Source organism: Homo sapiens, chromosome 6 (genome assembly GCF_000001405.40).
Source record: "Homo sapiens chromosome 6, GRCh38.p14 Primary Assembly".
Taxonomy (NCBI): domain Eukaryota; kingdom Metazoa; phylum Chordata; class Mammalia; order Primates; family Hominidae; genus Homo; species Homo sapiens.
The window spans coordinates 18,383,628-18,410,778 of record NC_000006.12 but is presented as its reverse complement, the minus strand read 5'-3'; the positions used below and the strand labels follow the sequence as shown (position 1 = coordinate 18,410,778).

The 27,151-nt window shown below is 41.0% G+C and overlaps 1 protein-coding gene and 1 non-coding gene across 3 annotated transcripts in view, besides 2 other annotated features; one reads left to right on the top strand and one right to left on the bottom strand.

Annotated features, from left to right (window-relative positions):
- Window positions 1-23,429, bottom strand: part of RNF144B (ring finger protein 144B) — an 81,521-nt gene extending 58,092 nt beyond the window's left edge. The window contains exons 1-2 of one of the 2 annotated variants that reach the window (NM_182757.4): window positions 23,149-23,429; window positions 11,080-11,280 (exon numbers count right to left, since the gene is read on the bottom strand). In NM_182757.4, the coding sequence (NP_877434.2) occupies window positions 11,080-11,244 (165 nt within the window). In that variant the 5' untranslated portion in view covers window positions 11,245-11,280; window positions 23,149-23,429. Of the gene's footprint in view, window positions 1-11,079; window positions 11,281-23,148 lie in introns of those variants that run through there. The other variant, XM_047418594.1, reaches the window with a different exon arrangement.
- LOC124901544 (small nucleolar RNA U13) lies at window positions 8,727-8,828 on the top strand. Its single transcript, XR_007059975.1, has one exon. It is a non-coding gene; the product is annotated as a small nucleolar RNA U13 (small nucleolar RNA).
- Window positions 9,750-9,799: an enhancer, noted in NCBI's record as "active region_24122". NCBI's record gives its function as "activates an Ori minimal core promoter by ATAC-STARR-seq in GM12878 lymphoblastoid cells {active_cell/tissue: GM12878}" and the evidence as "EXISTENCE:reporter gene assay evidence [ECO:0000049][PMID:35858748]".
- Window positions 9,910-10,009: an enhancer, noted in NCBI's record as "active region_24121". NCBI's record gives its function as "activates an Ori minimal core promoter by ATAC-STARR-seq in GM12878 lymphoblastoid cells {active_cell/tissue: GM12878}" and the evidence as "EXISTENCE:reporter gene assay evidence [ECO:0000049][PMID:35858748]".
- Window positions 23,430-27,151: the final 3,722 nt, after the last annotated feature.

Sequence of the window (27,151 nt, the reverse complement as noted above, 5' to 3'; positions counted from 1 at the left end):
CAGTCCATTCTCTATCCTGTACCGACGCCATCCTCCCTATCTCATTCCCAAACAAAGCCTTCCAGTGGCTCCATAATGTTTTTTTAACACAGCATACCAGGCCCTCCATCTAGTCTCTGCTTGCCTCTCTGGCCTCCTGCCTGAGCACACCCACACTTCCAACAATGTGTCCCAGGAACATCTTCCGGTTTGGTTCCTCAGCAGGTCACTCTTCCCTGATTCTGTGTTCTCACATGTGGCTGGCCTCTTTTCCCTGGAGCACTGTTCTCACCCACAGCCCCATCAACAATGCCATCAAGCAATCCCTATTATCTTTCAGTCTCAGCCCTTAGGAAACCTCCTACCTCCCTGAGTCTATTTTAGGTGGGTTTCTGTATGCTTTATAACATATTGTACTTCCTTTATCAGAGGGTCTACTGCCCACATAACAGCAGGGCTGGTTGTGTCTGATGACTGCCACTTGCTCCACAATTAACACCATGCCTGGCACACACTAGTACCAAATGGATCAGTAGAGTCTGGACAAAGGTGGGAATAGACTTAGAGAATATTGGAATAAGGGTGCAACTTCAAAAGAAGAAATACATAAACTTTGGTGACTTAGTGGCAACAATGGAAAAGTTCTCTCATCAGAAACCAACTTTTGCCTGCTCTCTGGTCATGATTTGCATGTTTGGCCAGCCTATTACATTCTGATATGTGGTTTGAAGAATTAAACTTTGGCAAAGGCATGCTTAAGGGGGGAAAAGTCTACACAACATACAAGCACAGATCACCAAACTATCTTTTCACAACTTCCTTTGTAAAAAGAAATAAAATTCTGTTCCACATTATAACATCACCCCTTACCCGAATACCAAGCCTAAAGTACTTGTTACGCCTATGATCGAAGTAAAAAATGTTATGTAGGCCGGGGCGCAGTGGCTCACGCCTGTAATCCTAACAGTTTGGGAAGACAAGGCGGGCAGGTCACTTGAGGTCAGGACATCGAGACCAGCTTGGCCAACAAGGTGAAATCCCATCTCTACTAAAAATACAAAAATTAGCCAGCATGATGGCACCTGCCTGTAATCCCAGCTACTCAGGAGGCTGAGGCAGGAGAACTGCGTGAACCCAGGAGGCGGAGGTTGCAATGAGTCAAGATCGTGCCATTGCACTCCAGCCTGGGGGACAAGAGCAAAACTCCATCTCAAAAAGTAAAAAAAAAAAAAAAAAAAGGTTATGCAAGTGAAGTTTGTCCCAAAAGAATTCTGTCAACCCAAGAGGGTGGGGGAGGGCATAAGTTACTATTTCTTAATATACCTATGGCAAGAAGGTAAGATATGTTAAAGTATGTTCAAAGAGATCTACCCAGAAAAAGAAGAGTTTTCCAGGGTTTTTTTTTTTTTTTTTTTTTTTTTTTTGAGACAGTCTCACTCAGGTGCCCGGGCTGGAGTGCAGTGGCAAGATCTCAGCTCACTGCAACCTCCACTTCCCGGGTTCAAGCAGTTCTCATGCCTCAGCCTCCCAAATAGCTGGGATTACAGGTGTGCGCCACTGTGCCTGGCAAATTTTTGTATTTTCAGTAAAGACAGGGTCTCACCATGGTGGCTAGGCTGGTCTCAAATTCCTGGCCCCAAGTGATCCACCCGCCTCGGCCTCCCAAAGTGCATGAGACACCACACCTAGCCAAATTTTCCAGTTTCTATAGAATTGTGTAAATATACTAATAAAGCAGGAATATAACACACTTAAGGAATATATCACACTTTATTAGTTAACTTAGAGGCAATGGGATGAAAGGCAGACCCTGTAAAGGTCATGAGATGCTCATTTTGCAGAGAAAAAAAAAAAAAAAAAACACTTTTCTGGACTATATAGGTGGAGGCATTACCAGAAGAAAAATAATAATTCACGGATTTGTGTCTTTAACTGTGTTCCCTAGAAATTGATTCAGGGATGGAGAATTCCATTTAGAAGAGTATGGGGTATACTCTCACCAAAGTCATGCCTATAAGGAAGTAAGGAGAATAGAAGTGGGCAGAGGGAGATCCTGACCCGCCATGCAGCTGCAGCCAGGGTCTGATCTGGCCCTACATTCCAACAGGGTACTCTCAAGGTAGGAAGGGCCCTTCGCAGCGGCACCTCATTAAGCTGAAAGGGAAAGACCTTTATATCCCTGTAGCAATCAGTCATTGTTCCATAAGCCAGTCCCTGGGAAATGGAGGATAGAAACATTGCCCTGAAGAGGGATCCGAGTGAATGCCACAGTTTCCACTACAGTCATGTTTCCATCCAAAATAGAATAAGATCATGCTAATTTGATTACAGGACCTAAATGTAGAAGATAAATGCATATTAAAATAGTAACTAGTAAGATGAATGATATATCTTCCTTACCAAACTGAAACCTCCCATAGGAAAACAATTTGGCTGGTTAAAGTAATTGAGGATTCTCAGCTTAAAGAAGAGAAAATGATGAAGAAAAAGAAATCATGGTTTTAGAAAAATCTCAAGCTGGGTACAGTGGCTCACATCTGTAATCCCAGCACTTTGGGAGGCCAAGGCGGGAGGAACACTTGAGGTCAGGAGTTCCAGACCAGGCTGACCAACATGGTGAAACCCCATCTCTATTAAAAGTACAAAAATTAGCCGGGCATGGTGACAGGCACCTATAATCCCAGCTACTCAGGAGGCTAAGGCAGGAGAATCACTTGAACCCAGGAGGCAAAGGTCACAGTGAGCTGAGATCGCACCACTGTACTCCAGCCTGGGCAACAAAATGAGATTCTGTCTGGAAAAAAAAAAAAAAAAAGAAAAAGAAAGAAAGAAAAAGAAAAATTCCAAACCAAGCCACCATTTTTACAAATGAGGAAATTCTAGAGAAATAACTTGATTCGAGTCATAGAGTTATTGACAGAATTGGAACTAATAGCAGGCCTACTTATCTCACTACTAGATAGCTCACTATTTCCTACATTGGACTGAGCACTATAGGAGAATTTTTCATGAGTAATCTGACGTCCGCCCTCTAAAAAAAAGATAACCTTCATTCAAATAATATGCAGCTAGTGAGTAGAATTAGATTTCAACCAGGAATAGTAAAATTAGATTCTAACCAATTTTATTTTAGAGAGTGGAAGTAACGCTAATAGTTAGAATTTACATAGAAACCAGTTTCAAATGAATGTAGAGCAAAGATGGTTTCAATTTAGAAATTTCCAATAATTGAATAGTCAGTACTATGGTATGTCCCAATCCTGGAAATTATCAGTCAAAAGCTAGATAACCACACTAAAAAGAGTAGAGCTATATATGCTAGCTGTATTCTGGCAGTGTACTAAGTAATTTATCTAGATTATCTACTGTAATCTTCTATATAATCTTGTGAGATGATTTCTTATTATCCCTATATTACATGAAAGAAAATGACCCAATAGACTGCCCAAAGACATTAACCCCTACCATCTGCTGGTCCAGGCCACTATCATCTCTGGCCTGGATTATTACGTTTGCCTTCTAAGTAGTCTTCTTGCTTTCACCCTGGCCCCTGTAGTTTATTCTCTATGCATAAAGGTTAATTTTGTGTGTCATCTTGGCCACAGGATGCCTCCTATATGCCTCATTTCTGGGCATGTGTGTGTGTGTTTCTGGATAAGATCAGTGATATAGCTTGGCTCTGTGTCCCCACCCAAATCTCATCTTGAATTATAACCCCCAGATGTTGAGGGAGGGACCTGGTGGGAGGTGACTAGATTATAGGGGCAGTATCCCCCATGCTGTTCCCATGATAGTGAATTCTCACGAGATCTGGTTGTTTGATAAGTGTGGTGCTCTCTTTCTCGCCTGCTACTATGTAAGACGTGGCTGCTTCCCCTTCCACCATGATTGTAAGTTTCCTGAGGCCTCCCCATCCATGCAGAACTGTGAGTCAATTAAACCTCCTTCCTTTATAGATCTCAGGTATTCTTTATAGCAGTGTGAAAACAGACTAATACAATCAGCACTTGCATCGGTAAACTGAGTAAAGCAGTTTACCCTCCCCATTGCGAGCAGGCATCATCCAATCCATTAAGGGCCTAAAAAGAACAAAAGGAGGAAAGAATTCGTCTCCCTGCCTGACTGCCTGAGCTGGGACATCAGTTTTCTCCTGCCCTCGGACTGGGACTTATACCACTGGCTCTCTTAGTTCTCAAGCCTTCAGACTTGGACTGGAAATACACCACTGGTTCTCCTGGGTCTCCAGCTTGCAGAGAGAAGATCATGGGACTTAGCCTTCATCTCCTACTACTCCCCCTACACACACACACACACACACACACACACACACACACACACACACTTTTCCAGCCACACCAGCCTCCTTTGCTGTAACAGGATACACCAAGCACACTCCCAACTTAAGACCTCCATACTGCTTCCCTCTGCCTACAACCCTCTTCTCCCAGATATCTGTATGGCTTGTTCCCCATTTCCTTCAGGTCTCTGCTCAAATAACACCTTATCACTGAGACTTCCCTGATCATCTAATAAAGTAGAAGTCCCTCTTCCCCACAGCACTCCTGACCCCCCTCACCCTATTTTTCCATAGCACAAACCATCACCTGACTTCTGTATTTACTTGTTAGCATCTATGTCTCATACGAAAAGTTGAGTTATTTGAAAACCAGGGCTTAATCTGATCGTTCACCACTATATTCAAACCATCAGAACTATGCAAGACACAGCAAATATTTGTTGAATAAATAAAGCCTAAGCTACCAAACTTGAGACCCATTCTCTTAAATGCCAAACCATACTGGCATCCCAGAAAATGACTTCTTTCATTAGGAGGGTGGGGGAACTAGAAGATCTAAGGTCACTTACAATTCTAGGACTATGATGCTATGACAAAGACATTAGGGCCTTAATAGTATGGTTTTCTTCTGCTGTTCTTTCCTCTCTTGCCACATTTTACTACTTTCCTTGAATAAGTAAGTGGTAAGCATTAGGCATGGATGAGATCATAGGTCCAGGAAGCCAGCTCCTCCTTGAGTCATCTCTAATCCATTTCTCATGCTGTTACTGTTTGCTCTTTTTCCACAGATGCCATCTGACCCTGCAGTGGCTCCGTTGTCAGTGGAAAAATATAGTGCCAATAAAATCGGCATTGTAAACCTGTGACTTGACCAATAAATACAAAAGTCACCATAGTATTGTCATTAAATCTCTTAATGGATATAAGCAGTGAGTATATTGAAGTTATTTCACAAACAAAGACAAATTCACTGATTTACTGCTAACCACCCCAAGCAAAGTTAAGGGAAAGCATAAAACTAACCTTGCGGCTGGGCACGGTGGCTCACGCCTATAATCCCAGCACTTTGGGAGGCCGAGGCAGGTGGATCACGAGGTCAGGAGTTCAAGACCAGCCTGACCTACATAGTGAAACCCCAACTCAACTAAAAATACAAAAAAAATTAGTCAGGCCTGGTGGCACATGCCTGTAATCCCAGCTACTCCGGAGGCTGAGGCAGGAGAACCACTTGAACCCGGGAGGCGGAAGTTACAGTGAGCCGAGATTGTGCCACTGCACTCCAGCCTGGGCAACAGAGCAAGACTCCATCTCAAAAATAATAATAACAATAATAATAATAATAATAATAATAAAGAAAAAAACTAACCTTGCAAGCAAGCATATTTAGGTACCAGAAACCAACAGAATAATACAGTGCTTTGAACTGGCAGAACTTAGTTCGGCCCATTTAATAGTAGTAGAAGACGTGGGAATCTGGAGCTGGAGAATTTGAAAGCTTTGGGAAAGGTTGGCAGGTCTCATGACCAGAAGAGGGGACAGAGAATCATTCTGTGGCATTGGCCTTGAGTAAGATCCCTCATTATTTCTTGTGGTTCCAGAGAATTCTCAATAAAAGGAACTTAAAATGATACTAGACTAACATATCAAGCCAACAAGTAATTATATTATTATGTTCTTGGAAGTAAGCAAGTTCTTAAATATGTGGTACTTTGAAACACCCTTTCATCTGAATCTTTTATATCCACCATAAATGTGCTCATCTATTTACTGTCAAAGTTGTATTGGCACTTTTTTTTCCCTGTTAAGTCCTAATTCTAGATATTTAGTTTAAATATTTCAAAGCCACACTTTGAACAAATCCAAAAGAGACATTTCTCTCTATCCTAACTGCTAATCTCTGAGTATCTCAGAATAGCAGTGAGGTTGTAATTACCTATATAACCACCTTTTTATAAAAGGCTAGTGAGGAAGCCAGTCAAATCATTATAGGCTTTCCTTTCTCTGAAATCTTTTTGAAGAACGTAACAGCTCAGCACACTGATGGATCTTAGGAAATAAAGGTAGGTATTGTCAACCCCTCCCTCCCTCCGTCTTACAGGCAAAGAAACTAAAGTCTAGAGAAGGCAAACAACTTGCCCCAAATCATACACCATCAAATGACAAAGCCTGAACTTGAGCCTGAGTCTTCTTATCTCCATATCTGCATTCTAACACACTATGCTATACTGCAAGGGAGAAACAGAGGTAGAAATAGGAAAGTGGCATTACTTTCTCCTAATGCAGGTAACAGTTAGAACCCAGGAAAGATCCACCACAGATTCATGCTTCATTTGAAAGTTACCAAACTGTGTGTGCACATACACATTGCAAATCCTCCCAAACTGTAAATGTCTCTGCTATGGTTTGGATATGGTTTGTTTATCCCCACCAAAATTCACATTGAAATTTCTTCCCCAGTGTAGTAGTGTTGGGAGGTGGGACCTAGTTGGGGAATGGCTTGGTGCCACTCTCTAGGTAGTGGCTGAGTTCTTGCTGTGGCGAGAATGAATTAGTTCTTGCGGGAATGAATTCTTAATAGTTCCTGCCAGAGTGAGTTTTTAGAAAGCCAGGATGCCCCTTGGGTTTTGTCTCTTTTCACATGTCCACTTTCCCTTTGACCTTCTCTGCTGTGTTTTGACCTAGCATGAGACCTTCACCAGAAGCCAAGTAGATGTCAGCACCGTGCTTCTCTAACTTTCCACCTGCAAAACTGTGAGCTAAATAAACCTCTTTTCTTTATAAATTACCTAGCCTCTGTATTCTGTTATAGCAACACAAAATGGACTAAGACGGTCTCCCAAACCAACTGTGGGCTTTTCTTAAAGGTCACCCGACAGGCCCCAAGGGAAAGAACGGCTTGGTCTAAAATGTTTTATATTTCCTCTCACTTTTTAAACATTGGAAAATCCATTTGGCTCCAAGAAATGAATAGTAAAAGGAGTTCTAACTACCTAGAGCCAATAGAACGTAATGGAAAAAAGGCAAGAATATGGCTGGACTTTATTTTCTTTTTGCTTAGCACATCCTGTATTTAATCTGAAAGGTAAATAGGCCATGCCCAACATACCGACTCTTTTCAGGTGAAATTATCTAAGTTATAAAAACAAGCAACAACTGTGTTTTCACTATTCCTTAATTCACGGCTGACAGAAATCACTTCTAAAATAAATCAGAAGCAAATATTGTACACAAGGGAGCAAACTCACAAATTTCCATTACTTTGATAACTGACTTGTGAATTTATTTCGCTTGAATTAACATTATGTGGCATTATCTGAAAGAACGCATTGCAAACCCAGAAAAGGAAAGTTAGAATTTTCATATTTGGGTTATTTAAATATACAGGCAAAAGAGAGGAAGGGAGAGACAGATACTCTTTGCATGTCATAAACAGACAAACATCCCTGAGATATTTAACCTTCAAAATAGAACAAGTAATTATGCTACATCTTTTTCTCTGTAACCCCAAGACATCAACCTCTTTGGATCTGTAATACACCTCATGTTCTATGACGTCAGTCATGCCAGTAAGAACTATGCCCAATTTTTCCTGTATATGCAGCTTCTCTTGCTTTATATTACACTTTATTCTGCATATTAAAACTGAGCAAACAGTCTAGCAGAAACCATCTTCACAGCTAGAACATCCTTTAACAAGAACCTAGATAATATTGATGGCTTATTTGAGACAACATCTACCACATTCCTTTCCCTGGATGTTATTTAAATCAAGAATTACCTACATGAAATAATTTAAAGCAGTGTTCCTCAGAGCACTGGTTGTGGGCAATAGATGTTCCACTCAAAAGGGTGGCACGGTCAAAGGGAAATGCTTCATCAGAAGAAGCTAAACAAGATTCCCCTGCTTTCCCTTTAACCACAAGATTTCACAGAGCCTCTAATATGCAAATGTGCCTTACATCCCTCTAAGAAAGGAACAGAAGAACATTGCAGTTCCCAAGCTAATTTGACCATGGAACATTTCATTCAAGGATATCTCTGTTTCCCAGAGCTGGTGGTCCGTGGAACACACTTGGGGCATCTATTTAAAGGCCAGGTCTCTCTAAAGATAAGGAAATAACTGATTAACATTCAATGGTCAAGTCAGATACTCCACATCTGTCCCTTCTGCATACCCAGAGTATACTGCACCCCCTATTTGAAGCACTGTGAAGGATCCTAGCACCTTCATTTTACACAGGAGAAATCAGAGGCCCAAAGAGATTAATCATGTGCCCAATTACACAGCTGAGTTGGGGTAGAGTTGGAATTGGAGTGTGGTGATCTTGGAAACAACAACAAAAAAAGCTAGGCTCACAGCAAAATGGCCAGGGATGCCTCTTACAGAAGACAGGACAATGACAGAATATTGTTAAAGCTTTATTAAATCCAAGAAAATATACCAGTATAGATCCTCTTGTAGTTCATAAGCATGATGATTGGCTTCTCCCAGTCACATGAGATATGCCTCCCTCAAACCTGGTTACACCATAAGCACATTATCCATCTAACATGAAAAGAAAAAATATATACATTACATATACCAGTATATACCGGCATAACATCAAATCTAGCAGGAAGATCATTACATGTGGATACTCCCTGGGGCAGGGGGGTGGTTCTCAGTAAAACCATTTTAAATATATGGTAGGCACAAGCAATTGGGAGATGTCATCCAATTCTGTTTAAAAGTAGAAGTCAGTAGTATGTGGCATATGAAAAAGTTACAAATTTCTTTTCAGCCTCGAAAATACAAAACATTTGATACTGAATACAGATGCAAATTAAAGTCTGGGAAGTATTAGACACATTTTAAGTCATTTTTTTAAAAACAAGAAATAAATCTCTAACCAAAAGAAAGTTAGAGGAGTATTTCAGGTGAATCTGATTCAAATTACAATTTTACAGACACTAATGTAATCATACACCGCTTACTATTTTGGCAGCTCACAGGTAACAGGTAACAGGATGCCAGGGAAAGTTAATGTTTCTAGGTGCAAAAGGATCCAAAATTGAGGGATACCAAAAAACATTCAGCCATTTGACTCTCTGCTTTTGAGCACTCCCTAACAATGAGGAAGTGTGAATCTAGATGACTGAAAAAGCTAACTGTACTAACTCCTACCCTCAAATTGCTGAAAGAGAAATGAGAAGCAGCCATGCTGTTTTGAATCAGGAACTAAAATCTACTGAAACAATAACAGGACAGTGTTAGCTCCCTGAGAAGATGAAATACAACCTTCACCATGTATTATTTCCCCAATGTTGACGCACACGCTTAAATTCTGCACTGTTAAATGTCATAGCAAAAATTGAATTCTTTTAAACAGCAGTAACCCTCAGTGAAATATTTGCATACTGATTTTCACCACATGTTGCTTCTGACTCATTTGTTTCAAGGATTAGCAAGGGTCTGCAGCAAGGGTGAGAAAGTCAGAGAAATAATTGTTTTGAAGGACAGCCTTCAGAAACAAAGCAAGACCAAAGGAAACTGAAGTTGCTCTGAGATGACAAGGCCATTTCCTCACTTCCTATAAAGCAACACACACTAACAACAAGAGGAAGGAGAGGCAGCACAAACATCACTCCTCAGCAAGGCCTACTTCTGATCCCCCTACCTAAAACAGCAACATCCTCTAAGCCCTGAACTCCTACACAACGTTCTTATATAGAATATAAGCTCCTAAAAGCAAGAAACTTCGCTGGGTTTTGTTTCCTTAACTGATAAATCCTCGTGCCTAGAACCATTCCTGGGACATAGTTCCTGCTCAACAGATATTTGTTGATTAAATGAACAATGCTATTCTGTGTCATCACTGAAGCCTACAGGAACTCAATCTATTTCCTACCTTTATACCTTAACCGACCAACCTTCAAGGAAAAGTGGCAGTAAAGGTCACAGGTGTTGATACCAGGTGTCACACTAAAAGAGATAAGCCCACTTCTGCAGGTCTATAGGGCTCTCATTAAGTGGAATAAGAAGGATTCAGCATACTGTGAAAACAGCATAAAAGGAGCTATGACAAAGTACAATTTATATCATGTACATTGTAGAAGATGAACAAGTATATGAATGAAAATTCAGTACATAAAGTAAATTACTACCTGACTTCTCCATCATTTAAAATACCTGGTGAGTTTCTTATAGGTGGTAGTTAACTACAGCATGTTAAATTTTTTTTTTTTTTTTTGAGACAGAGTCTCGCTCTGTCGCCCAGGCTGGAGTGCAGTGGCCTGATCTCGGCTCACTGCAAGCTCTGCCTCCCAGGTTCACGCCATTCTCCTGCCTCCGCCTCCCGAGTAGCTGGGACTACAGGCGCCCGCCACCAAGCCCAGCTAATTTCTTTTGTATTTTTAGTAGAGACGGGGTTTTACCATGTTAGCTAGGATGGTCTCGATCTTCTGACCTTGTGATCCGCCCGCCTCGGCCTCCCAAAGTGCTGGGATTACAGGTGTGAGGCAACGCACCTGGCCAGCATGTTAAAATTTTTCTATTCTGTTCCATAGTTTGAACCTTAACAGAAAGACTATTTATTCAACCAATAATTAAATTTCAAACATAAATTATACTCAGCTAAAACAAGTAAACCCAGGATTTACCATTTAAGATACTATTTGGAAATAGGTTCAAATATGAAATGCTTTCCAAAGCAGGATCATATTGTAGCACACTCTGGTTTCTCAGTAAACCACAGAAATATATCCTACTTTTATGATTTTTCCCTTTGTATTTTCTCATAGTGAAAGCATCAAGGAAAACTCACAGCTGTGCAAAAGATGCACTGGCATTCCTGGAGTGTGGTCATCTTGTCCAGAGACTGCTCACACAGGCAGAGTTTGCAAGTGATGAGGGGGGCCGGAGCCAGGTCTCCAGGAGTGGGATTTTCAGCAGTCATGGCGAGATAGTGGAGCCTACCAGCTGAGCCCATCAGCCTGTCTTCAGCATTCTTCAGTCTCCTCAATCCCTATAGAAAGGTCCAAAGCAGAAAATATTATATGGATTGATAAAGCTATTGTTTAGCCAACACGTCTGGAGGCCAGCTGATCAAATTCTCACCCTCAGTTATCCCAAAACTTACAGCTAATGCATTTCTGGGAACGACGGGCTAGAGAGTGGTTCACCTACCTCGGCAAGGTATCCCTGAAGTCCTGAAATGTAAGCTGACCTCACTGTCCTGATTCACATCATATGAGCTATGGAAATTAAAAGACCACTATGGTGGGGTGGGAATGGGGAGATGTTGGTCAAGCTTACAAAGTTTCATTTAGATGAGATGAATAAGTTCTGGGGAGCTCTCACGCAGCTTGGTGACTAGAGTTAGTAATAATACACTGTATACTTGAAAATGGCCAAGAGTAGATTTTAAATGATCTCACCACACACACACAAAGAAAAATGTGAAGTGATGATGTTCATTAGCTTGATTTAAGCATTTATATACATAGAGCAAAACATCACATTGTATACTGCAAATGTAATTTGTCAATTATACCTTAATGAAGGTCAGGGGCGGGAAATATCACTATGAGCAAACATATTTAGGAGTTGCATCACTACAATCAATTCAACAGACTCAAAAAGTACTTAAAATAGAATGTCATTCAAAAAGTTAAACAAAGAGGTAACATATGATCCAGCAATCGGGTATATACCCAAAAGAACTGAAAGCAGGGTCTCAAAGAGATATTTGTACACCCATATTCATAGCAACATTATTCACAATAGCCAAACAGTGGAGGCAACCCAAGTGTCCATCAGCAGAAGAATGAGGCTGGGCGCAGTGGCTCATGCCTGTAATCCCAGCACTGTGGGAGGCCGAGGCAGGTGGATTGCTTGAGGTCAGGAGTTCAAGACCAGCCTGGCCAACATGGTGAAACCTCGTCTCTACTAAAAATACAAAATTACAAAAAATACAAAAATACAAAATTAGCCAGGCACAGTGGCACATCTGTAATCCCAGCTACTCAGGAGGCTGAGGCGGGAGAATCACTTGAACCCAGGAGGCAGAGGTTGCAGTGAGTCAAGATTGCGTCACCACACTCCAGCCTGGGTGACAGAATGAAACGTCTCAAAAAATAAAAAATTAAAAAGACAGAAGAACAAACAAAATGTGGTCTATATATACAGTGGAATAAAAAGAAATAAAATTCTGACACATGCTACAACATGGATGAACCTTGAAGACATCATGCTAACTGAAATAAACCAGACAGAAAATCAAATATTGTATGATTCCACTTAAATGAGGTACCTAGAGTAGTCAATTCTGAGAGACAAAAAGAAGAATAGAGGTTACCAGGGGCTGGTGGGAGGGGGAAATGAAGAGTTACTGTTTGTGGGGTTTTTTTTTCCTAGAGAAAGGGTCTCTCTCTGTTGCCCAGGCTCGAGTGTGGTGGCACAATCATAGCTCACTGCAGCCTCGAACTCCTGGACTGACATGACCCTCCCGACTCCACCTCCCGAGTCAGGGTATGCTTCCTCACCTGGCATGTTCAACGGGTACAGAGTTTCTGCTTGGGATGATGAAATAATTGTTTTCCCCATTTTATAGATTAATTGTGATACTGATAAGTTAGGTAATCTGCCAAAGTTCTCAGAGCTTGTACATGGCAGAGCAGAAGACAATCCTCAGCCTTCTGAGGCCACCAAGCCCAGTGCCAGATCCATTACACCAGAGCTGCCTTGTGTGGATATCACATGGACAGACGAAGCAGAGAAAAGAAGGAGGAAGGGGGACAGAAAGAGGAAAAGAGAGTTGAAGTCCATGACTACAGCTATCCTTAAGGTCCCTGAAGCTGCACAGAAACAAAATTTGTCTCCCCACACAGCATGACCATGGGAAAAGACATCTTTAGACTGAAAAATAAAAACTACAGCCAAAGTTCTTCTACTAGATTGTTTTTATTCTGAATCTTTATCTTTAAAAGAGACTAAATAATTGTGAAAATAATTTCTCCACATATTCATATTTTATATCACATCTGGAAATTTCATGTTCTGGTTAAACAAAAGCAAAATCCTATAGTTCTTACTATTTTTAAAGAGTGGCCAATTCTAATAAATTCTGCCATAGAAATAATTGCAAATACACCTCCCCCTACAAGAACCAAGCTCTTTTCCTCTTAATTTTCAGACAAAAGAAATTACATGTAATCATTTGCTACCTACTCCCAACAATAGCTTAAGTCTCAATATGTAAGTACAAAAGTACTAAAACAAGTAGGGGAAAATCAAATTCGATTAGATAGAAAAGGAAAAAAATAAATGAGATATTTGCTTGTCAATCTGTCCACATCCACTTTCTTAATGTCATACCAGAAAGTCAACGATTACTAACTCGAGCAACCTGAAGCATTCAAGGTTTTTCACCTACTCCCAGTACTCAGTACCAGAAAACCTGATTCAAAATAATTAAATAGGAAGCTAACTAATGGTTAGTTTCCATGTGGAAGACATGGTTTTTTTCTCAGCAAATGCCGGATAAAGTTCAAGACACAGCGTTATTCCATTAACTACTGAGGAGCTGTCATCCAAGAGCAAATTAAATTCAAATAGACCTGCACGTCAAATTCAGGATTTTGAGTTTTTGTAAAAAATCTCTCTTTATGATAAACATACGGGTAAAAATGAATGACTTTACCTTTTCCTTCCTCCCAGTTCATGCTTAAACAACTGTCATCAGCTTGCGTCTCCAGTACTCCCGGGCTCATGGCACACAGTCCCACCAACTTCCCATCTGTTGTCTTCTCACCTGTACATTCTCAACGCTGCTTCACTGCTTATGCAATCTATTCTGAATTATCTTTCTTTCAAGAGAAATCCCAAGTAAAACAACAAGAAGAAACGTAGGTAGTAAATGCTTCCTGAGTAGGAGAAAAAGGGTAATGACACAGGCCAGAACCATCCCACACCCCAAATGTCAAATACACTTAGCCATGTGGAGAAAGCTGGTGTGAATAGCCAATCCTGTTGTTCTGACCTAGCAAGAGATCTAGGTACTCTTCGAGAAATCCAAGTATTTCTCAGTCTTACTCTATATTATTTTTTTAGAAGGAAATATTAAACAGGCCAAAGTTTTAATGTACTCTTGAAAAACAAAGACATAATTGGGATACCTCTTAGAAATTAATTGGATACTCTTGAAAGACATATTGGATTCCTCTAATAATACCTCAATTATTATCCATAATGGAATACCTATAATTAGATATTTCTTAGAAATAGTCTTCTTTTGAAGGTAGAACTAAAAATTGTGGTAATCAAGACCATGTGAAACATAATTGTCTCTTACTATAAACAGTACGTAAGTTTTTACTCCTTAAAACTAAGGAGTTACATGCCTATAGGCTATGAAGTCAAAGTTATAAAAAACATATGTAATTTTTATAATAGAAAAACCTTTACATAGCAGAGATGCATTTTGTTTTTTAAAAAATTCCAAGCATTCCAAAAAGGCAGGACTTATGACTCAGTGACATAGAGGAAAAAAGTTACATATTTCATCTCCTTGAGATGTGAACAATCCAAAATGATTCTTCAAAAAGTGATTTATTTTTCTGTGTACAATAACACCAATTCCCTAAAGCAATGGCTCTCAGACATTTTTCAAGCAATGAGCTTTCAAAAACAAAAATCTTAGTCAAACCACCACTGTATAAAAGAGATTCAGGTAGACAAGTGCCAGCACCCAATAGTGGGTGTCCAGAGCCAGTCCCCTTGACCTTCCCCACTCAGCAGCCCCCCAGGCACCATTGCAGAAGCCTAAACCTGCACCATGCACAGACTAAAAACCAACCCTTTCGTTTCTCACTTTGGGCAAAACCAACAATGGATAGTTAAAAAAATGAATGAAATGCAGTGAGCACTTCATTTAAAAAAAAAAAAGAATATCAAACAAGAAATCCTTTCACCATTGATTCATTGCAAAATGAGCTCTTCAATCAGTAAACAGGAGAATCCTGAAAGCCTCTAATGAATTTCCCCACACCTGAGATGCCTGTGAATGGCTCCAAGGTTTCCTTGCATTTCTTCCTTTGTGTCATATTACTATTCACCGGTCTTCACAGCATGAAACCCCCAATAGTAGAGCCTCAGGAAGCTCAGGGCATTTGATAACACACTCCCAGCTCCTCCTGTCCCTCCCATTGGGCCACAACTTCACAGGGGCACAAGCAATTCACATCCACTCCCCTCCAGGTTTCAAGAAAAGTCTTCATTCCAGAAAGAGGCTAACTCACTCCTACTGCCTCATACCTCACATTTCTATCAAAAATAAGAAAGTGACTTGAATTATCCACCCTACCACTTGATTTTAAAAGCTAACAATTATAATTACTTTTACAGTGATTATAGATGTGACTGTGCCTCTCACCGAGTGTCAAGAACCCCTTGTGAAAAGAATTTTGGCAGAGAATGCAAGGGGCACCTTGAAATCTGACAGCTGCCTTTCAAGTTTAGGCATTCTAAGGTTGGTAGCAGGTATCACTTGCTTATATATACCTAATCATAGAACAAGACAGATTGGTTGGGCCATGTAAGGAAGGAAAGCCATTCTGAAACGTCTGAGTTTGCACTAAATTACCAGGAAAGGAGAACCAGCAGTTCTACCTGCTCTATGTGTCTCTTGCACTATAAAGTGTTCATTATATGAGAAGCAAGTACTATCTGATAGGAAAGAATGGAAAGTCGCCTTTCCCCTCGTGTCTTGTCATTAGAATTGTCAAAGAAGGGAATACTTCAGCACAGAATGTATAAGGAATTTTCATATTCTGCTGATGGCCTGAAAAAGCAATCTGCTCCAAAAATGCAAATGATGGGAGAGCCAACATTCAAAGCTTTTTTTTTTTTTTCTTGGTTGGGGGGTAGGGGACGGAGTATCACTCTGTCATCCACGCTAGAGTGCAGTGGCATGATCTCAGCTCACTGCAACCTCCACCTCCCGGGTTCAACCAATTCTCCTGCCTCAGCGTTCCAAGTAGATGGGATTTCAGGTGCCCACCACCACGCCGGGCTAATTTTTGTATTTTTAGTAGAGACGAGGTTTCACCATATTGACCAGGCTGGTCTTGAACTCCTGACCTCATGATCCGCCCACCTCGGCCTCCCAAAGTGCTGGGATTACAGGTGTAAGCCACCACACCCAGCTATTCAAAGTATTTTTAACCAATGTAGTTTATGTCTGTTTGATTATCCAAAATCAACACAGTTATTCCCTTACACAAAAAGATAGTGTAATTGGAAGGGATAATGTTTTATTAGGATACTTACCCTAATTATTATTAGGACACTTATCCCTAATTATTTTGGAATTTTTACTTTATTATGCAGAAACTTTAAAATTTGGAGAAACTGCTAAAGCACAACTAAGGAGACTAAGAGAAATAGAAAGCTACTAAAATGAATCAGCTAGATATTACTGATGCCACAGGATATTAATGTAAATAAAAATCCAGTTGATCTGCACTGAGGTCTTAATTCCAAGCTATGCTATGAAATTCTAAGAGTTACTCAAGTACAGGGGACAAACAGAAGAGGAGACATATGTATACTCTCAATGTGTTTATATGCCTTTGTGAGACATCGAGTCATCACTGTGAAGTAGCTAGAATAACAGATATGAATGCATAAATATGGGAGGGAGGTAGCAAAGGGGAAAGTTTTTGAGAAGGGTGGGTGGTGATGAAGAAAGGCTGAAGTGTTGCCTTGTAAAATGGAGACATATTCTCGGGAAGCTAATATTCTAATAAAGCAGAAAAAAAGAGCAGCAATCTAAAGGTCCCATCCTTGCCTTGTTAGGAAAGCTATCCCCATATCAGCTAAGAACACACCAGGCAACCAGTTTCCACTCAATGCAATCTGAAAATCAGCATTATGTTGATCTTGGTACTTCTGCCCAATAGAGTAGTTTGGTTAGCTACTGGTTCCTTTTCCTAACAGAAACTATTAGTGAACCCAATGGTACTAATTGAGTCTAGTAAAGTGCTGAGCATTATCAGCCATTAGCTGAAGTTCTACCCTAAATACAATCCAAATACAATGGCAGGGTGACCTGCTGGCTGGTAGCAGTAGCAACAGCAATGAAGGAAGCAAGGGCTTATGGTAGACCTCCTTTGTGGCCAGTGTTGTAGCTCTACTCTCCGCTTGCATCTCCAACCAGCTCTCTGGTCATTCAAGGACAAGATGAACCAGCGTACATTCTTTCAATCAGAAAAACAGTTCTAATGCATGCCCTAACCTAAGAGGACATGAACAAATGGAAACATAGGCTGCCCCTCTCGTAGTCAGGGAACTGCAATTACTTAAATAAACTGTATATCTATTAATTACTTTTTTTTTTTTTTTTTGAGATGGAGTCTCACTCTGTCTCCAGGCTGGAGTGCAGTGGCGCGATCTCGGCTCGCTGCAAGCTCTGCCTCCTGGGTTCACACCATTCTCCTGCCTCAGGCTCCCTAGTAGCTGGGACTACAGGTGCCCGCCATCACGCCCAGCTAATTTTTTGTATTTTTTAGTAGAGACGGGGTTTCACCATGTTAGCCAGGATGGTCTTGATCTCCTGACCTCATGATCTGCCCTTTTTAAAAGAATAATGCTCAAACTCAATGAGTACATACATGATATTACACATAAGTTGTCATTATTTGAAAAAATGAAATAGATTAGAAAATATCCTCTAGCATAAACAAACCCAGGAAATATTTAGGTCTTAGATGTAAGAAAGTAAATATTCACCTATTCAGGCTCTGTGAGGTGGCAGTATTGTATCACTGTGCCTCCTGTGGTAGAGAAGAGGACTTCTGTTTTCTCGCCACTGTTTCATGGCTTAAAGTGCTCAAAAAGCACTTTATTTAGTCTATAATTTCTTAGTTTTAACATCGTCATTTCAACAGTTTCTAGGATGGCAATGAGATCACAACTTTGTAACTTGGAGACTATTAACCTTCTAAAAATGGAACTGATATGCAAATATAGCCCTATTAACCTTTTTGTGGGTTAAAAAAAAAAAGTAGGCACTTCATCAGGAAGGAGAAGCATCTTAAAGTATTAGCAAGAACTGTTTTCCAAACAATCTCTTTGCTGCTTGAAATTAGGTTATGAATAAAGTCTGTTACAACTAATTTAGTGAGATCTAATATTTTTTCTTACAAAATATATATTGGTGCTGATGTCCAAGCATGGCCAACAATGTACATGACGTTGTGATAAGCTAACTCCAAATCCTACAGAGGACAGAACATCTGGCACATCGTTTTTTTTTTGAGACGGAGTCTCGCTCTGTCGCCCAGGCTGCAGTGCAGTGGTGCTATCTCAGCTTGCTGCAAGCTCTGCCTCCTGGGTTCACGCCATTCTCCTGCCTCAGCCTCCCAAGTAGCTGGGACTACAGGCACCTGCCACCACACCTAATTTTTTTTTTTTTTTTTTTTTTTTTTTAGTAGAGATGGGGTTTCACCATGTTAGCCAGGATGGTCTCGATCTCCTGACCTCCGTGATCCTCCCGCGTCGGCCTCCCAAAGTGCTGGGATTACAGGCGTAAGTCACCGCGCCTGGCCCTTGGCACATCTAGTTTTAACATTTGCAAACTGCTGCTCCTTTTTTTTTGAGATGGAGTCTGGCTCTGTCCCCCAGGCTGGAGTGCAGTGGCCCGATCTCGGCTCACTGCAAGCTCCGCCTCCTGGGTTCACGCCATCCTCCTGCCTCAGCCTCCCGAGTAGCTGGGACTACAGGCGCCCACCACCACGCTTGGCTAATTTTTTTGTATTTTTAGTAGAGATGTGGTTTCACCGTGTTTGCCAGGATGGTCTCGATCTCCTGACCTCGTGATCAGCCCACCTCAGCCTCCCAAAGTGCTGGGATTACAGGCATGAGCCACCGCAACTGGCTTTTTCTTAAAAGCACATTTCTTCTTGCCTTCTTTCCATGTTCTCATTACCCTACAGGGTAAGGCCCAAGAGGTAGAAATCCATTCCCAGTTTTCCAAACAATATAAACTTATCAAAGAAGGTGGGAGTGAATATGAGAATAACAGCTCAATGATATTTTTGGCATGGCAATTTTGCATTCATCATGGTAGCTACCTCTTCAATATCACCACTGTGCCTTGCCCACTCCTGTTTTAATCAGTGGTTCCCTGCCTCCCACAATTATTCACACAGCCCTGCTAAATAATTTTCTTCCCTATGCCTGGCATAACAACAAAGCTCAGAAGCAGGAAGGAACGCCACTTAAAGGCAGGTCAGACAATGATGTAATTGACCAATCAAGGAGAAGTGGTATTTCAAAGAGCCTTATAGAGCAAGAGCCAGGCTGATTTCTTGGGTCAGGACATTACCAGAAAACCAGAGCCGCTAAAGCACGAATATCTAAATCAAAAATTTTTTTTCAAATGAATAAAAGCATGTGCCAATATTACCCCCTCCTGTTAAAGTTAAAAGTTTCATATAGAAATTTTAATTAGAAACAAATTGGAAACCAGTTTGGAAGAGGAATCTTCACCCCACCTGAGCAAAGTGCAGGTGTAGATTTTTGTATGTCTTTGCCAATTAATTTCCTATAACAGGAATTTATCATGAAGGAAACAAAGTCAACACACAAAGAACAAATTCTACACATTAGGTGCTAGGGATGTAAAGGTGATTAAACCCAGCTCCTACTTATTAAGAGTCAACTAGTTGAGGAGGTTTTCAACAGAGGATTTCATATAATCATATGCAGGAGAATGTGTGGGTTTATGGTTTCAGCCACAAGTTCAACAGACAGAAACGAGTTGTCTTGTTTTATCTTCCCAAGAAAAACAAAGAACAAGTTGATGAAGGGCTGGGACTCAAACTCGTGACTTCAAAAGATTTAGAAAACAATGGGACATGGCTTTCAAAGTATGCTCTTAATAAATACTCCAAGCCATGTGATCAGAAGTATCTCCAGCTATGAATAAGAAAAGTCTATTTCACTTAGATTGCTGTGTTTTGAATTCAAGAAAGAGATCTGCTCATAGATGAGAAGATCCTCATTCCACGTTGCAGAAGCATTGGTCATTTTTACTCATTTAATATATAGTTATCCATTTTTTAATAACAACTATGGTATGATGCATTAGGTTCCAAAGTACTCACCGACTGGGTAAATAGCAAATGCCAAAGTTAATAAAACTAAAACTTTAGTCCAAGACCTCCCACATACACCTAAAGGTAAAAATTATGAATTAAAATATTTACATAAATTAACTTAGGTGTCATATACCTCTTAATGGTCAAATGGTCAAGGTAACACTACCAAGAAAATTAAGATGATCGAGGTGACAAACATCGAAGTACTTTTTATAATCTGGCAAAGCAATGTGAATTCAGAACTACCACTCTAGACCCAAGTCACTTCTGACCTTATGAGAATTTCTTCCGGACAGAGACCACATCTTAGCCATCTTTATATCCCAGCATCTAACCTAGCACCTAGCAAATCAGTCACTCAGTAGTAGAGTGGATAACTTTTCTGATTGTACTTGGAGGAGAGAAAATATTAAAGGCCTGGTTCTCATCTGTATTCACTTCCAGAAATTCACAAGCTGAAAATATTGACCATTTGTTTCAGGTAAGGAGCTTCTATAAATTAAGGTAGGCACCCCTGAAAGAAATGTTTCAGTACTTAGGAGCAATGGCTACAGATACCTATTCCCCAAAGTCCAAGTGAAAAGCATGACTTGTCTGGCAGCTTGGCCCTTTTCCCACATCCAAAATAATCAGTTGTACAAAGTAGGCTTAGTCCCAAAACTGCTCAGACTTTGTTCCTTCAGTAACATCTGGGTTCAGCATGATTCCTGACCTCTATCTCAAACTGGAGATTTCAAACACTAAAAACTTCACTCTCCAAGAAAGTAATGTCATAAAGTCAAGGCCAGGGGAAACAAAGAAGCCAGGATTAGCAGAAACACTTCGGAGAAAGGATTCTGACATACATATAAATGTTTCTAAACGTCTAAAATATTGAAATGACTTTTCAAGAAGGAAATTTTAAGTGCACCTCCTCAGATGAAAAATATTCATACTACTGAGGAGAAAGACGTTTTTCAGGAAGTTAAATGGTCATACCAGGTAGATAAAATAAGCTTTTTCTTTCCAGAGAGAGCATACTCTTCTCTCTGCTGTAGAGTTTGGCTCCAAAAACCTGGTTCATAATCTGAGACCCAAAAACTGATTATTTTAAAAAGACATGTCTTAAGCTGACCTAGTTTGGAAGCCTGAATGCCTTTAAATTGCCAATGAACTGAAACCATTCATGAGAATGGGCCTTTTGAATGCTGAGAATGTTCTTTGGGACTCAGCACAAAGATATTTGGCATAGATGACTGTAAATATTTGTAAAACTCTGGGTAAATGGGCAGGATTTGACCACACTCAAGCCCGACTTCCAGCACAGTAGTGTAGGAGAAAGTTATCTAGGGTGATTGTTTGGGGTTTTGGGGGGTTTTTTTGGTTGAGTTTTGTTTGTTTTAAATAAAAAGCCAAGCAACCCAATTCTACTACTCAACATCTTTTTCACGTTCACTATATATGTTTACCTTTTTTTAATCAAGATAATTAATTAGTCAGAGACTACTTTTGAAACTGAGGTTTTTCCCTTTCCCACTTTTCTAAGTTTATGCCCACGACAAAAATAAAAAAAAAAATGCCAGTCAAAGGTGTGCAAGGGCAGAGCAGGAGTTGTGTGAAACCATGACCTTGGATTTCATAATACAATTATCTACAAGTGGCTTTGTGGATCTGCTATAGGTTTTTCTCCCCCTCAGGATAGTTTTAGAAGTATTTAAGGCACTGCTGTCCATGAAAAGGACCCAGGTTGTGAAGGAAAGATAAACTAAGGAGAAGGAGGGACTCACAGAGGGATTTGATGTGAAAGGGACCAAGAGGCTCATTTCAGTGAAAGCTGCGGCAGACAGATACTCTAATTAGCCAGCAACTCAGTTAGGACTGGCTAGGTTCCTTTTGCCTCTTACCCACACCCTAAAAACTGAGTCATCCCAAAGTTCATTTATTTTGCTTCTGGGCACAGACACCCCCTAATCTGCTTCCTCAGAAATGTTAGATACATTGCCATTTAATTTATACCTCTCAATGTTCAAATAAACGTCCAGAAATGCCAAATCGGAAGAGCAGAGATAGTCCTGTTAAGAACCTCAGAGCTAATGTTTTGATAAGATACATGTGGCAGAAAGCAATATGAAACTGACAGTCTGTTATGAGAACATGAAAAAAGAACATTTCCCAGAGAAGGGAATTAATTTCTGGGAAATCTTTATGTGAATAGTGTATATGCATGAGGAGTAGACTTACAGCAGGATCCTTGAAACTCATGAGAAAAACAAAAGGTGTTTTAGAAAGAATAAGCAAAAGATACCTACCTTTTCCCTGCACAAACGACAATCAGTTCGATTTTAACTTAAATTTGAGAATGGCTCTCGTAGTATCAGAGTTTCACTGTTTCATTAGCAATTACCTGATAAAATAAGCACTATAATGCATAATCCGAGATTATGCCAACTTTTGGTCTCCCCTTAAGACCTAGGGAGAGGTCTGGTCTAATCTCGGATTCTACAATACATTCTATTATAGAAACTGTTTTATTAGAAATGAAACTACTTTCCTTTAACAAAGGCATTTTTCTTCTAAGTTAACAGGTGTTTAAGGCATTCAGAATGAATTCAGTTCTGTATGGTTTGAGCACTAGAGACAGAAAATCGAAAAATTGTGGTGTCACAGTGAGTTTCCTGTCCTTTTTCCTTAGTCCAGCAACACCATTCCGGTCTTGCAACGCCTGTAGCCTTTAAAAAGCTCGCTAAACCTACCTGGCAGCAGACCTGCGTTCCTCCGTCGCCGGGCTTCTCAGTAGCCTCCCTCGCGCTCACCGCCAGTCCGGGCTGCTGGCACACCGGACAGGAGCTCTTCCATTCTCTCCGTCTTTCCTCCGTGCTCTGCGGCTGACAGCTTTACACTTTGCAAGACTGCAACAGGACTTGCGCTCCCAGACCTACGGGTCGGGAGGAGGCGGAGTCCCCGACCGCCTCCTAGCCTTGACTGGCAGCTGCGATGCCCGGGACTGTTGCAGCGGGAGCGTGGGGCACAGCTCGCCAGCAGCGGTAGCAGCGCGTTTATTTATACAGGAAGCTCAGGCGCCGCACTTCCTACTTCCCATGTGGGTCGTACTTCAGCTGCAGGTGTTGGCCTTAACCCTATCCGAACCCGGGCGCGCTGCACCGACTCTACTGCTTGTCAGGACCTGTCTCTTGTTCTCCTGGGACCGCTGTTGCAGGAATTCAGAGCAGGGGGTGCAGGCAGCTGCCCCTAGCGCACTTCTTCTGCCCAGACAGGGACAGCTCACCTCTTGGCCTTAAGCGCCTGCTACCTCTCTGTCTGTACATATCCTCACAGGCCACCTTTCTTTATTTTCTCCCTCCTTCCCAGCTCTTTAAATCTCTTTCTTCTACTTCTAACAGCCCAGACCTGCCTTCCCACGTGGCAGACAACTGTTTTATAGAAACACTTCCCATGCACATCTCATCAAAAAACAGCTTGTACCTCACTTGTCCTTTTGCATCTAATGATGAAATTAGAATACCTGTGAATCAAATCGGGAATAATCTTAGTTTACCTCATAAAATACAGACACTTCTTGATGAAACAATGATTTCACTTGAAGTGCTTTGTAACTTAACTGGTTGTACCCTCAATTAAACAAAAATGTAACAAAATAATCCAGAAGCTGTGAGGTATTATGAAGTGCTTCCTTGCTCCAAACCCTTGGACACTTCATTTGTGTGACATTCATAATGAATCGCATACCTACTCATTCCCCATATCCCCCATAGATCACAATCACCTAAGTCTGCTGAACATTGCCATTTAGGAATGTCGCTCTGACACAAGAATCTGTGTTCACTCTGCAATCCCTCTCTACTTTTGCAACCACTGTCAGGAATGTGCTTCCTAAAAGGAAGGGACTCACAGGCCCTTTGTGGAAAGGATCTGTGCACGCCAACAGGCACCATTCCAAACGACACAAGCAAACATTGCTTCTCAGCCCTCCAAGTTGAAGAAAACCTCTAGGTCAAAGCAAAGTGCTGAATAACACAGTGTATCTACATGTGCCATGCTAGGGCAGGTAGGAGGACCAGCTCACCAGTCAGGGAGGAAGAGAAAAAGGACAGGGGCAATAAGATGATAAAAGAACCCACGGTAGGATATTTGAGCTTGAAAAGTCTTCCTAGCTATTTTAGCAAATAACCTGATTTTAAAAATAAGGAAACTGGGCTGGGTGCGGTGGCTCACATCTGTAATCCCAACACTTTGAGAGGCCAAGGCGGGCAGATCATCTGGGGTCAGGAGTTCAAGACCAGCCTGGCCAACATGGTGAAACCCCGTCTCTACTAAAAATACAAAAAATTAGCTGGGCGTGGTGGTGGGTGCCTATAATCTCAGCTACTCGAGAGGCTGAGGCAGGTGAATCGCTTGAACCTGGGAGGCAGAGGCTGCAGTGAGCCGAGATTGCGCCATTGCACTCCAGCCTGGGTAACAAGAGCGAAACTCTGTCTCAAAAAAAAAAAAAAAATAAGGAAACTGATGTCCAGGAAGATTTAAGAGATTGGCCCAAACCAGACACAGGCCAAGCTAGAATGAGACCTAAATCTGAGTTACATGAGGAAGGTGAATGTAAATGAAAACCATCCCAAAGGAAGTCCAACCTTCAGATTTAGCAATGGCTTAGGTTCTGAGATAATCTATTTCAAGGAATTTTCTTGGTATAGTGACCATTTTGGTGGACAGGAACTAGGAAAGATAAAAAGCAACCTCTAAGAGGTTAGTTTATTCATTGGTGTTGATGCAAATCTCCTGAGCCTTAAACCAAAGTTCAACACAGAGTCCACTTTTCAAATTACCATTCATAAATTATAATCTCTTGTTAACAGGATAAGGGAAGAAGCTGCTGCCAATATGAATGAGAACATAAGCACGAATAGTGCTGCCTATTATCCCAAATATTTTGCACAACTGAGTAACATCACCACTGATTATTTTCAACCATGCAACTATGCAAATTTTTTTTAAATTGCAGTCAAAATTTAATAAGACTAAATAAACACGTTGAATGCTATAATATTATGTGAACAAACTCTCTCAGATCTTCCTAAGGAGTCTACAGTGTGAATGGATATTCATTCTCTGGAGCATTTATTGATTTCCTCCCAGACAATCTGCTAGGTTGTATTAAGATAATGATATTAGACATGGTCTCCCTGTCCTCAAAGACCTCTCAATCCAGGGAAGGAGTAAGACAAGCAAATCAATTATCAGGGTACTGATAGTTGTACCCAATGTGTGAGTGATACATAATGTGTGATATGATAGACTTAAGCATGATGTGCTATTGGGAGCACAGAGAAGAAGAATTTAAAGGAAAGGAGTTGATGAAAAGAATCAAGTCTTCTCTGAGAAGGTGATTATATTAATCTGTTCTCACATTGCTATAAAGAAATAACTGAAACTGGGTAATTTATAAAGAAAAGAAGTTCAATTGGCTCATGGTTCTGCAGCTGCACAGGAAGCATGGCTGGGGAGCCCTCAGGGAGGTTACAATCATGGTAGAAGGTGAAGGGGAAGCAGGCACGCATGTCTTACGTGACTGGAACAGAAGCAAGGCGGGGTGGGGCAGGGAAATGCCACACATGTTTAAACAACTAGGTCTCTCAAGAACTTATTGTCACAAAAAACAGCACCAGGAGATAGTGCTAAACCATTTATGAGAACTCTGTCCCTATGGTCCAATTACCTCCCACCAGGCCCCACCTCCAACATCGGGGATTACAATTCGACCACGAGATTTGGCTGGGGACACAGATCCAAACCATATCAGTGATTTAAATCTATGTCTTCAAGTAGCCCAATAGGTGTGGTAGAGAAGGGTAAACCAGGCTGAGCAAACAGCTAAAACAAAGGGTTAGACATGAGACTCTAGGTGAAATTTTTCATAATTCAGACAGAGCTGATACATCCAGAATAAATGAATGAGGGTCTGAGCTAATGCAGTGACAACTGCCATGCAAAGGAAGGGAACCAATGGAGAGAGATTTCAGAAACAGAAGTGATGGAACTTGGTATCTGATTGGATGTTATATTAGTCCATTCTCACATTGCTATAAAGAAATACCTGAAACTGGGTAACTTATAAAGAAAAGAGATTTAATTGGCTCACAGTACTGCAGGCTTTATAGGCTTTAAGCATGATGCTGGCATCTGTTTGGCCCTCTGGAGAGGCCTGTCACATGGTCAAAGTAGGTGCAAGAGAGCGTTTCGGGGGGAGGGGGGAGGGAGGCGGTGCTACACACCTTTAAACGACCAGCTCTCACAAGAACTCACTATCCCCAGGACAGTACCTAGGGAGATGGTGCTAAACCATTCGTGAGAAATTTGCCCCCACGATGCAATCACCTCCTACCAGGCCCCACCTCCAACAATGAGGATTACATTTCAATATGAGATTTGGGCAGGGACACACATCAAAACTATATCAGATGCAGGGGGATAAGAGAAAAAGAATAGCCCCAACTGCTGGCACCACTAAGAGGGGGAATAAAAGAGAAGTGATGGTAAGGAAACCATGATAATTCAAATTAAGATCTATAGAATCAGAAGTGCCTCTGGGGCATACTGGAAAAACTGACCAGTAGGCTATCAACAGAGAGAGATCTAGGGTGGAGAGTCATTTGGGAATTGCCATCATTTAGGTGGTGGCCATAGATGAGATTACCAAAAGCTAAGACAACCCACATGCTATAGAGGGAAGCAGAGGATTTG